This window comes from Homo sapiens, chromosome 2 (genome assembly GCF_000001405.40).
Source record: "Homo sapiens chromosome 2, GRCh38.p14 Primary Assembly".
NCBI classification, from domain to species: domain Eukaryota; kingdom Metazoa; phylum Chordata; class Mammalia; order Primates; family Hominidae; genus Homo; species Homo sapiens.
Genome location: NC_000002.12, coordinates 178490026 through 178503084, shown reverse-complemented (window position 1 = coordinate 178503084; position 13059 = coordinate 178490026). Strand labels below are relative to the sequence as shown.

Sequence of the window (13059 nt, the reverse complement as noted above, 5' to 3'; positions counted from 1 at the left end):
TTTTTGAAAAAGCTTGTTAAAGAAAATAGAAGCAGTTGCATCTCACAAGAAGAATATTTTTGAGTAACAACTTTCAACTAAGACTGCCAATTGCAAAATATATACTTTCTGGAAAGAGCACTAATTCAATCTTTGCTTTGTCAGCTAATTGAAACACTAAACTAGTATAAACAGGAAAAAATCTAAGGATAAAATTTCTGACCTAGTCTATACTTGCTAATTTAAAGATGTTCTAGAGAAGTGAACTATATGTATGCGCGTGTGTGTGTGTGCGTGCGTGTGTGTGTGTGTGAGACTAGTTTTGTTACAGTCCATAACAGTTAAACTGGGGGATGCTAAATATAATAGAGCATGTACACCTAGATCTTTTGAAAATTGTTTTCAAATATTCAGGACTAGAGTAACTAGAAGAAAAGAATTCTAAAGAAAAATGGATGGCTTTAAAAAAATTATTTTAGTAATCACAAATGATCCCCTTAAAAAAAAAAAAAGATGTCGCACTTAAAACTACAAGGTAGCATACAGAACTCCTTCATGAACTCTGGATTAAGAGTCATGTGTAAAAGGCATAAAGAATAAAGAGAATCAGAGTCTATCTTACCTGCCTCAGATAACTTTTTTCACATACTCAACCTCTTTAACCCTCCTCCTCTCCTCCTCTTCTCTTCCAGGTCTTGCTTGATTGGCCCAAGAAAGTTTCTTTCTCCCTTCCCCTTCCCGGTTTCTTTCCTTCATTTCTCCACCCACATCTCAATTTAAATTCAAAATGTTAATGAGCATAGAATAGTGCCATATATTAATAAATAGATGATTAATTCAGTTTAAAAAAAAAGTGGGCATTAAAAAAAAAAAAAGATTCTATCAACTCCTAAAAATCCAAAAATGACCAGCAATCCTTTTTAAAATTGCCATATGTATGAACTAAACCTGTTTAACTTTCTGGTTACATAAAACAACTCCAGCTTAATCAGTGTTTTCAATACACTCAAATGCTAGAAATACACCATTGTTTTGTCCCATTTCAGCCATACTATGAATTCACTGGGCTCTTCCAAAGAATGGTTAGCTATCCAAAGAGCTAACCACCACTTATCATGTCATTTCCACAAGAAAAATAAAATCTGTTTTCCAAACAACTGACTTACAAATGAACTAACTATTGGAACACGACCTGTTCCTTAATTGGAAATTGTACATAGTTTCTATCCCACATGCTTCCTGAGAAATAGTAGAGACTTGGAGAGTATAAGTCTATTAATGGAGATGTAATAATAAGACTATATTTGTGTTCACTGCAAATCATGGTCACTACTATCTTACTAGATATTCTGACACACTTTCAAAGCTTCTTCTCTGAAGAGAAAAATTTAAAAATTTTAACATAAATCACAAAACCTTTCCTAAAAACATTCAATCACAGTATGCTGCCTCTTTAATAAGGAAGAAAAAGGTAGAGGAATGAATGCTACTATAATTCACTGTGACTACCAGACAAAATTCTTTTCCTTAGCCATTTCTAGGTATTTTAGTAAAGTAACAATGCTGACTTTTATATGAACTTGGAACTTGCCTTTATTTTCCCCTAGAATCCTGCTAACAATTCATGCCTTCTTCTAAAATGTTTTTTAAGTCCTAGTGGTGGTAAAAGATCATGATATTCTATAAATATATATCTGAGATACGATATTTACAAAGCAATCCTCAGCACTCCTTAGTTAGTAACAAACCTGTTTGTAAGGGGATATATGAGCTTTCATTGATTGAGCGCTGTTTGCTTACCTCTGAATTAAGGAATCAAAGAAACAAAGTACAATGTTCAGTCAGTATACTTCATTTCCAGAAATTACAGAGCCCCACAGTAATTTTGCTGAATATGCCAAAGAAAGAGACAGAATCTATGTCACTTACTATCTGGGTCTTCAAGAGGAATATCACTACAAGAATCTGTATCTGAGTAGGTTCTTCGGCGTCGCTGGGAGAGTCGGTGAAGTGTAGATACTGGTTCTTTTATAGAGTGGCTACTCCTGCAAATTAAGTAAAAAGCATTAAATTGTAAGGCCTTACATAAACAAAAACACACTCAACTGGAATTTTAAATGACTTCTCTTTAAGTGAAAAAAGAATTATTTTTATGCTCAACGTCCCGTGTTAGCAACATTCTACTCAGAAGTCAAAAACAAGTGAACCCATTTAGAAGACAGCTGGTAACCTGGAGAATATGGCTTCTGAGCTGAACTAAAAGGAAGAGGGGTACAATGAAGAAGTAGTGACTTCTGTAGGGGAGACTCCAGAGAGCAGACATATCAGTCGGTTTACAAATGTTTGAAAACTAGAAGTCATAGGTTTCATGAATGCATGTATTTTAAGTCAATCCATATCTGATCAAAACCAGCAGACTGAAAGAGATGGGCAAGGAGTTCATAGAGCTAGAGGTAGACTCACTGACAACAGCAAGAGAAGATAAAGATGGCAAAAAGGGGCCTAGAAAAACTCTTTTAAAAATCTGTCTGAAAAATTTAAACAGAGAAGCAAATCACCACCACCTAACAGCATCTCAGCTACTATTTTTGTAACAGCCCAACTTTACTGTACTTAATGACAACCTTGATTCATCAGGAAACAAATAAGATTTTAAAATTATTATTTTATGAGGTAGAAAGGATAGAAAAATTTCTTTCATAAAAATAAAAGTTGGTCAAAAATTGATTAAGCTTCCATTTTTCTGGAAAATTCAGTTGGTGGGACTCTTGATTCCCTGACAAGGTTGGATATATACATCATTGGATTCCTCTGAGTATTTGACAGTTTAATCAAAGATTATACAATCATCAGGGGAAAAAATTAAAACATGACAAAACAGCATTTAACAGTCCAAATATAGAGAAATAAATGCCAATGTCACTATAATTAAATCACTTTCCAAAGAACTAAATAAGACAACCATAGCAACTTAAAGGACTATTACCTAACAAAATAATAGTTTAACAACTTAGCATTTTGGTAAGATCTATCCAGAAGGTAAAATTTTTAAACGTATTGATATGAATATGTACTTTAAAATATCAAGTGGTTTTCTCTCTTCAGCAAGATCTTTCTCTCTTAATGAAACAACAGCTCAGCATGAATAGATGATGCTATAAACAGCTGAGGTAAAATGAGCCCTAGCTGTGGAGTCTCAACACATCAAAAATGTACTTCTGTCTAACCATCACTTGATATACAGTCATGCGTCTCTTAATGACAAGGATGCATTCTGAGAAATCCATCGCTAGGTGATTCTGTCACTGTGCAAACATCACAGAGCGTGCTTACACAAAACTAGCTAGTATAGCCTACTACACATGTAGGCTATGTGGTATAGCCTATTGTTCTTAGGCTACAAACTTCTACTGCATGTTACTGTACTGAATGTTGTGGGTGACTGTAACAATGGTATTTGTGTATCTAAACATACCTAAACATGGAAAAAGTACAGTAAAAATATGGTATTATAATCTTATGAGGCCACTGTCACATATGCAGTCTATCATTGATGGAAAAGTCATTCTTCAATATATGACTGCATTTCAAACATCTAAAAAAGGTAAAATGGCTGGCAACGTGCTTACCTTGCTGGTTAATTCATTCATTTTTTTCTTTACTGACTACCTACTGAGGCCAGGCCCTTATACTAAATACTAGGAGATAAATACTGAGAGATAAAATGCTGGTTTTGAACCAGACCTAACCCATACAGAGTTTACATTCCACACCACTTGTTAAAGGCCCAAAGAACTTCCCTAGATGGATATAATTTGAGAGAACTTAGTCAGAAGAAAAGGTTCTTTTACCTCTCTGAACTGCAAGAACCAGGGTGGCTGACAGAACGCTTCATCTAGAAATTTTGGAAAAAAAAAAAAAAATTAGCATAATCCATATGTCAAGTAGAATCATGCAGCTCTAATTTACTATTATCATAATAAACATAAATTTACTCAGAGAAAAAGATAACTGGCAAAAAAAAATTTAATCTTTCACAGACTCAAGCAACATAATTAGTACAACATCAAGCTTTCTCCCTAATAACCATTAATTGGAATCTTTTTCAACACACACCAAAAACATGCTGGATTCTTTTTTCAAAAGTGAAAACCAAATTTTATACATAATACATATATATGTGTGTGTATACAAATATAAAAAACAGGGTATATAACTATAAATAAGATATAAATGTGATAAAAAAGGAGTATCTAGCAAGCCACAAAATATTCTAATAAATATCTCTTTTTTAAAGGACAGTAGTAGAGTCTGGCAGCAAAGCTTCTCTTTATCATTAATTATTTAGGTAGCTGATATACAAATGTTCTAAAGTGTGGTTTTCATGGAAAACAGCATTAATAATTCAAGACTTTAAAGAACTCAGAAGAAGAACCCTAAGTCTCAGTGGATTTCCAAAACATATATTTAAAAAAATAAAGAATACCTAATTAAGCAGAACATTTAAAAAATATGATAAATACTAAACATAATTTGGAAGATCCAACTACTCCATCAAAATATAAAGGGAGGCAGCCAAGTAAAACTGATTATTTCAAAGTTTAACATGGTAGCAGAAAAACAAAGATTATACTAAAGGTTTAGGGTGGTTGCTTTTGTATACATGAGCCCAAGAGTCTAACAAGCCCAGGTCTAACATTGATGTTATGCAAATGCCTTCTATATTTGGAACATGAGCCACTAGTTGCTCTGAGAAATACCAGTTGAAATGCTAAGAGATATGACCCACCCAGTTTGTAGTCTGGGAACATCTGATAAGATTGACATTAAGATGCAAATGGCCACTAACATCTCCTTTAACAGAAATTACTTCCTTTAGGCTTACTAACCCAAGGACATCCCCACTATAATAATCACTCAATCTGTAGGTCCAGTGATGGTTGTCTGAACTTTTATGACAACTTGAAATAAAGTTAAATGCAAGTTTACTCTAAGATGAATTCATTGAGATTAACTATATAAAGTGCTTATAAAGATCAGATTAAAGCACTTACAAAGATCAGATTAAATTGTTTTGGAATACTCAAATTTTCAGCTTTATTTTTCATATAAATAAATGTAAGTTTTTCATATAAATAAATAAACAATGTTATTTAAAAAAAAAACATGAAGATTGTCTGACCTTACTTTCCATGCTATTTGTCTCTAGAACTAATAATTATTTTAGTTTCTTATATGTAAAATACGCATTGACTTCTCTGGACTACAGAGCATTTGTAACATAAGGGATTTCCTGAGAAGTTCAATGCAGAAGCAAGGCAACTCTGAGGTGTTTTACTGCATTTGACTCTAAAAAGTACAGCTTAAAAAAAAAAAGTGTACCCTTTGTCTATCAACCTCAGGAACACAGCACTACACATCCATCTCAAAACACTGGTTTCTTTGTTCACACATACTTGTTAATTAACAGTTTATAGCATATCTACAATTGTCCTAAAAAGCAACATTGTCAAACTATGTTTTACTCAACACCACACCACAGTCCTGTAAGATGGTATTAAAAAATACATAAAATGGGCCAGGCGCAGTGTCTCACGCCTGTAATCCCAACACTTTGGAAGACTAAGGCGGGCAGATCACGAGGTCAGGAGATCGAGACCATCCTGGCTAACATGGTGAAACCCCGTCTCTACTAAAAATACAAAAAATTAGCTGGGCATGGTGGCAGGCGCCTGTGGTCCCATCTGCTCAGGAGGCTGAGGCAGGAGAATGGCATGAACCCAGGAGGCGGAGCTTGCAGTGAGCTGAGATTGCGCCACTGCACTCCAGCCTGGGCGACAGAGCAAGACTCCATTTCAAAAAAAGAAAATATATACATATATAGTATTTATATATATATTTATTTTATTTGTGTATATATATAACGGGCTCAATTGTCAAATAAATTTCAGCAACACTGTACACTACACTTCCACCTCTCAGAGATTCATAATACACTTCAGCATAAAAGAGGGTGTGACGGCTGGGCATGGTGGCTTATGCCTGTAATCCCAACACTTTGGGAGGCTGAAGCAGGAGGACTGCTTGAAGCTAGGAGTTTGAGACCAGCCTGGGCAACAAAATGAGACTCCATCTCTACAAAAAATAAATTTAAAAACTTAGCTTGAAGCCAGGAGTTTGAGACCAGCTTGGGCAACAAAATGAGACCCCCCCCATCTCTACAAATAATAAATTAAAAAACATAGCCAGGCACCGTGGTGTGCACCTGTAGTCCCAGCTACTCAGGAGGCTGGAACTTGGGAGTTTGAGGCTGCAGTGAGTTATGATGGTGTCACTGCACTCCAGCCTGGGTAACAGAGTGAGACCCTGTCTCTAAAAAAATAAATAAATAAATAAGTAAAAAGGCTGTGACAAGTCCCATCAAACCCAATTCATATCATTTAAGTTAACCTAGCAATTCCCAAATTAATCTGGCCATAAAACTCATTTTCATGGTACGCTTGCCTCAGAGGAAACTATTAGCCCATCAAATACTGATTAGAAAACAATTCTCTAAATAAATCTAGGCAATAATCTTTACTAAATCTCATAACTAAATTTGCTGGGATAGGTAAGAGAACCTAGGAAGAAGTTAGACCCTATTCTCCTAACAAATAGATCTTCAGGTAATTGCTGAAACAGCAACAAGGTGGCATTCTTACTCCTATAAATGGACTCCTAAAAACACTTTGATGCAATAAACTTGAAGTCTCATTAAAGCTTATCTCACCTACAAATTTCTAACAGCATGCTAGAGCAAATTTATTAGCTCAGAAAGGACAACGAATCTGCCACCCCTGGCAAAAAGAGGACTTGTTCTGAGCAATAAGGAAGTAAGAAACTAACACTGAGCACCTAACAGTAAGCAGGTCAGATCGTTTGCAGTGACTCTCTGATATACACTGTATTTTTACACATGAAGAAACTGAAGATCAGCTACTCTGAGGGTTCAGATCCAAATGCTTAGTAGAGAATACCGTTCCCACCGGAATATGTTTCAAATTCCTTCTAACTCCTTTAAAGATATACGTAATTGTACCCCATTGTGACTAAAATCTCATTCCATTGTGTAATTCTTACCAAGCAGAATAGAGCTCCCCAACTTTTTCTTTGTCACAGCACTTTGTAATATTTTCCTAGACACTGGGGAAAATGGATGAAGCAGCCTGTGGGCAGGCCATGCACAGCCCCTCCAAGGAGAAGGGAATGAGGACACTAGCACAAGTGCTCAGCTCATCAGCTAAGAAGCTCGAATATGAAACAGTACAAACAAAAAAATTCAACTTGTTAGCTGTTCCCCGCCCCCCAACTGCCTGCTTCCACCCTTAAAAATAAATACCAAAATGAAACGAAAACCACATGCAACATTACTACTGAGGGAAAAAACCAAAACAAGAAGTTCAAACCATTTGAACAGGAGAAGGTGACACAGGAGAAACTAAGGGATCCGGATGGTGCAGTTGAAACATCTCAGGTTTAAACTTGGCATTGGCTATCTTCACACATTCCTCAAGCGTTGTGATGAATGTGTTACACGTGGCACTAAGCAGAGAAGAGGCTTCATTCATGTTCTGAAAAATTACACAAAGACTTGAACAGATTTGCATACAACTACATGGAATCATATACAACCTTATCATTAAATAATAAGACATCTCCAACAGACACATTACTATGTTATGTTCAAATTTATTTAAAATACAGTACCTTAGAAAATTAAGCTGGGGCAAAAAAAGAAAAAAGAAAACATTAAAACATCTATGTATAAGAAATGCCTGTCTCCTAAACAATGTATGAAACTAGATTCTAAGAAAAAATAAGCTTTGCATTTAATTATCATATTGAAAAACTGTGTACAAAAGTTTATCTTAGAGAAATCTAACCTAAACAGTAATTTTCACTTTCCCAAAAGTGGACACAGACATGGAATACCCTTAGAGTTAATTAGTGGCAGTACAATTCATGCCTACCCTCTATCCATTCTCCCACTTCTTCCTTGATAGAGTAAAAAGCCCAATTTTGTTCAGGATCGCAAAGTGCCCTGATCCTGGGGGATGAATAGAGACTGATCTAACCTAGTCATGGCTATTCCAACACTCTTTACTAAATGCTCATTTTTTCCTAGTTTCCTTTGAGCCGGAAAAAAAAAAAAAAAAAAAAGATGAGAAGTTGGCTAGGGAATTTCTGGGATTTTTGTTTCCCGATTCAAAACCAAGCACAGCAAGTTGAGAAGGACTCTCTCTACCCTGGCAACCCCACTGCCTCCTGCCTCTTTGTGAGCTTGACAGTCATCTTGACACCTGGGGCATTAGGAGAAAAACTCAACACACCAAGAATGGCAGAGTGGAAGGATGGAACAAGCCTGGGTCCCTAATACTGTCACTGAGCTGCTGTAGCAAGTGTGAGGTCAACTACCTCCAGGGAGCTTGTGGTCAGTTTGTCCTTGGGCTTCTTACACAAGATTCCTCCCCAACAGGAGAAGGCCACAGAAGAAATAGGAAGATTTCTTGCCCCACTTCTACCAAGTTAGGCAAAAAGGGACAGGCAACATGCTGGCCTTTCACCCAGAGAGTGGTATAGCTCACTGGTCCTATTTTACCATGAAGAATGAGCCTATTATAGCCCGATCCTACTAATCTGAGTTTTGATTCCTAAGTCACTGTTCTGAGAAGGATTTGTTTTAAGTTATTTCATAAAGATAAGTTATCAACTCTCATAGTTGAAGCAGGGACCTTATTACCAAAAAAAGAGAATAGCAGCTGTCCAGTGAATTTATGCCGCTAGCCTGGAGAACAAAGCCTGGAATGCTTCTTCCCCACTCCAACCTCCAAATTATCAGACTGGCTGCAAAGACAAGCCTTGACCCCTGGAGAAATATGCTACTTCATGTTCTTCTCTGGCCACACAGACACAATCGAGAAGATGCTACAGATTTCCAGATAGTATACAGTAGGCAGAACCCAGAAAAGCTGAAAATAACTCAATGTGAAAATGCCTGTCATCTTATGGAATGACTGAGGATCCCCCCAGAGTACTCCAAAGCATAACCACACGTGAAGAGATCCTCTTCGCTCTACCTCTGCACTAGGAGATGAATGATTCTCATCATGGTGAACAAATTCCTGTATTGTATGAACTTGCTGCATTAAGAGGTCACAGTAGAGGCGAAGTTCAGACATTTTGGTTTTCAGCGATTCACTGGTTTCACTTATTTCTGAAAAGAATATACATAAATATACAGTTAGATCATTTTCATATTCTTTGAGCAATGTAACAAAATGTAATCATTTAAAAAAGCAATGAATATAAATACCTATAGCTCAAGAAATGTGAGACCTTGGAAACAGGATACAAGAGCCCTAAGGAAACATCTTCTCTTCAGATAATTGGGAAAAAGCTGACAGTTATATGCCTGCCATGTTTAGGTGATTTCCAGAGATAGGATGATGACCACTGGATGTTTTATACAGGATATTTCCATTCCATTACTCATCTTCCATTTAAAAAGTGCTTGGTTTTCTTTTGTGAATTGCTTTTTTATTTTGTCCTTTATACATTTTTTCCAGTTCTGATGTTGGTTTTTCTCTTAACAATATAAACTGATAGTTTGTAAAAGTTCTTACAAATTAAAGATAGTAATCTTTCCTCTATCTTATATACTGCAAATACCTTATCCAGATCTGTTAGCTTCCTTTCAGTTTTCTTTATTTTGGCTTACAGAAGTTTTAAATTTTTATGTAATTAAAACTATTGTTTATAAACATTCATTTATTTTCTTCTGTTTCTTTCAGTTTCATTCTCACATTATACTATTTTCAAAATTTTTTATTAAGAGCATACTTTCTTCCTTAGTATGTCCAGACAAACTAAACATCCAGCCATAATCTCAGCCACTCACAAGCCAATACCTTTTAAACTAGAAGTATAAGCTACAGAGGAGGAAAATTCATAGAGTAAATTTCTGGTGCTTCTCCACACTCCCTGGGCCAGGCCCCAGTGGTCTTGCTCTCTGGTCCTAGCCACAAAGCCACTTTTGCCAGAATGGACAAAGCAGCTCTATCTGCGCATTTAATCTAACCTAAATCAATTCCTGCTCATATTTAAGCCTATTCTTTCTCCTTTTTAAAAAAAACTGTGGTAAAGTATACATAAACATAAAATTTACTATTTTAACCACTTTTAAGTATTCACTTCAAAATGTGCCATTAAGTACATTCGTATTTGTAAAATCATCACCACCATCCATCTCCAGAACGTCTTCATCTTCCCCAGCTGAAGGTCTGTACCCACTAAACACTAACCCTGTTTCCACCTCCCCCTGGGCCCTGGAAACCAACATTCTATTTTCTGTCTGTATAAGTATGACTGCCCTGGGTATTTCATATAAGTGGAATCATAGACTATATGTCCTTCTGTGATTAGCTTTTTTTTTTTTTTAATCATTATTATACTTTAAGTTTTAGGGTACATGTGCACAATGTGCAGGTTAGTTACATATGTATACATGTGCCATGCTGGTGCGCTGCACCTACTAACTTGTCATCTAGCATTAGGTATATCTACCAATGCTATCCCTCCCCCCTCCCCCCACCCCACATGATTAGCTTTTTTTACTTATTGTAATGTCTATAAGGTTCATCCACAGTGTAGCATGTGTCACAATTTGCTTTTTAAAGCTGAGTAATATTCTATTGTATATTTTGTTTATCCATTCCTCTACCAATGAACATTTGGGTTATTTCCATCTTTTAGCTATTGTGAATATTCATTCCTTCTTATCCTACCTGTAGCTATATTCTGTAATGTTTTCATATATTTCAAAATTGTTATAAATTCAATCCTCAGCCTTCATTTCTCAATACCTATAATTTACTTGCTTTCACTAATGTAATTAATTTGCATTTAATTATATAAGTAATACATACTTAATAAAAAATTTTGAAAAATAGAAAAAATATAGAAAAGAAAAATCAAATAACTGTACTATGGTTTGAATATCGTTTGTTTCCAGCAAAACTCATGTTGAGTCTGGGTCCCCAGTGTGGCAGTGTTAGGAAAGTAGTACTTTTAACAAGTGATTAGGTCGTCAAAGGAGTGAGTGAGTTCTCAACCTCTTGGGACTAGATTAGTTACTATGAGAGCGGGTTGTTATAAATCGAGGCTGCCTCTTGGGTTTGATCTCTTTCCGCACACACCCGCTTTCCCTTGCTTCCTCCGCCATGCTATGATGCAGCATGAGGCCCTCACCAGAAGCCAACTAGATACAGCTGCCCAATCTTGAACTTCCAGCCTCTAGGGCCATGAGTCATACCTCTTTTCTTTATAAATTACAGTCTCAAGTATTGTGTCAAAGCAACAGAAAATGAACTAAGACAAACTATAATCTCACTATCAAGAAATTGTCATTTTCACATTATATCTGTATATAGTTGAACTAATAACATAAATCATTTGCTTTGCTTTCAGTTTCTAAAAATCTTTTTGAATTGGCAATATGCGTACATGGTAAAGTCAAAAGATACCAAAGGGTATATACAGTGACAACTGAGTCTCCTTCCCACAAATTCCACTTCCAAAGGTAACAATCTGACCAATTCTTACATACCTTTCCTAAGCCAGCCAATGAATACTAACAATACACATAATTCTGAATCCTGCTTTTTTCAATGATCATTTAACCCTGGGCATTTTCTCACATTGAAATTCCTTTTCAACATCTTACTGTCTATATATCAGCCAGTGAAAGCACGAGTTTAGGCTGGGCGCAGTGGCTCATGCCTGTAATCCCAGCACTTTGGGAGGCCGAGGCGAGCGGATTACCTGAGGTCGGGAATTCGAGACCAGCTTGGCCAGCATGGTGAAACCCCGTCTCTACTAAAAATACAAAAATTAGCCAGGCATGGTAGCAGGCACCTGTAATCCCAGCTACTCGGGAAGCTGAGGCTGGAGAATCGCTTGAACCCAGGAGGCAGAGGTTGCAGTAAGCCGAGATCGCGCCATTGCACTCCAGCCTGGGCAACAGAGTGAGACTCCATCTCAAAAAAAAAAAAAAAAAAGAAAGAAAGAGTTTATTGAGCCATTCCCCTAAATTTATAGCTTTTACAAAATGTTTACTATGATAAAGATATACGTAAATCTACATTTCTAATTATTTCCTTGGGATAGATACTAAAAGTGGACAGGCTAATTTAGTTACATTTATATTTATATTTAAGAAAGTACTCTCACCACAAGGGAAAAGTTTATAGTTACCTTTTTCTTTTTTAGTCCTTGTATCAGTCAAACATGCTTTGGAGCTCCCCAGAGCGACCAGCCACCTCTGTCTTTCAGCTGCATTCACTGCCTTCATGTAGAAATGCTGCTCTCCAGGAATGATTAATTCCATTCTTGTGTTGTCTGCTGAATGAACTATGATGATAAACAAAGGGGAAATACAGTTATAGACTTAAGTAATTTAAGGGTAATCAAATAATCATCTAATCACACAGTATCAGATGCTTCATATACCAAAAACATTGAACTATCATTCATGATGCAGGCAGTGCTGCTCCCTGAGGGGCCACCCAGTGGCACTCCCCAAATCAACATTCTCATATAGACCCGGGGTAACAATGGTGCCAAAGCGATGACAGAGTATGAAAAAGAAAACAGGGACATACTAACTACTGAGAAGTGACAGCCCTCCCCCACCTTGGGGCCACTTATCCTATTAAATACAACTGCAATGAATGTTACACTATCACATATTTTTTACTGATTTCCTTGAAAACAAAGTCTTTGTTTTCATATATAGTGCCTGACACATAGAAGGAATGTAATAAATGACAACTACAGCCACCTTCTGTCAGAAAAGTAACTCTATGATATGCCCTTAATTATGGATCATAGCATAACACATGGAAGGCATGTATATTTTGAAGACATTCATCTCTTCCCCTCTTTCTACCTCTTCTCCTGCACACACACACCTCCTTTGATGCTCTGAGAAAAGAGAGCTAATCAGGAATTATGATGAGCCAATCCCAAGTCTTTGTTGTAAAA

General features: G+C 36.4%; 1 protein-coding gene across 2 annotated transcripts in view; it reads right to left on the bottom strand.

The window, feature by feature from the left end:
* Positions 1-13059, bottom strand: part of PLEKHA3 (pleckstrin homology domain containing A3) — a 36007-nt gene that overhangs the window by 13379 nt on the left and 9569 nt on the right. For both annotated transcript variants that reach the window (NM_019091.4, XM_047445577.1), the window contains exons 3-7: positions 12271-12426; positions 9096-9232; positions 7425-7589; positions 3831-3874; positions 1909-2024 (exon numbers count right to left, since the gene is read on the bottom strand). In NM_019091.4, the coding sequence (NP_061964.3) occupies positions 1909-2024; positions 3831-3874; positions 7425-7589; positions 9096-9232; positions 12271-12426 (618 nt within the window). The remainder of the gene's footprint in view (positions 1-1908; positions 2025-3830; positions 3875-7424; positions 7590-9095; positions 9233-12270; positions 12427-13059) is intronic.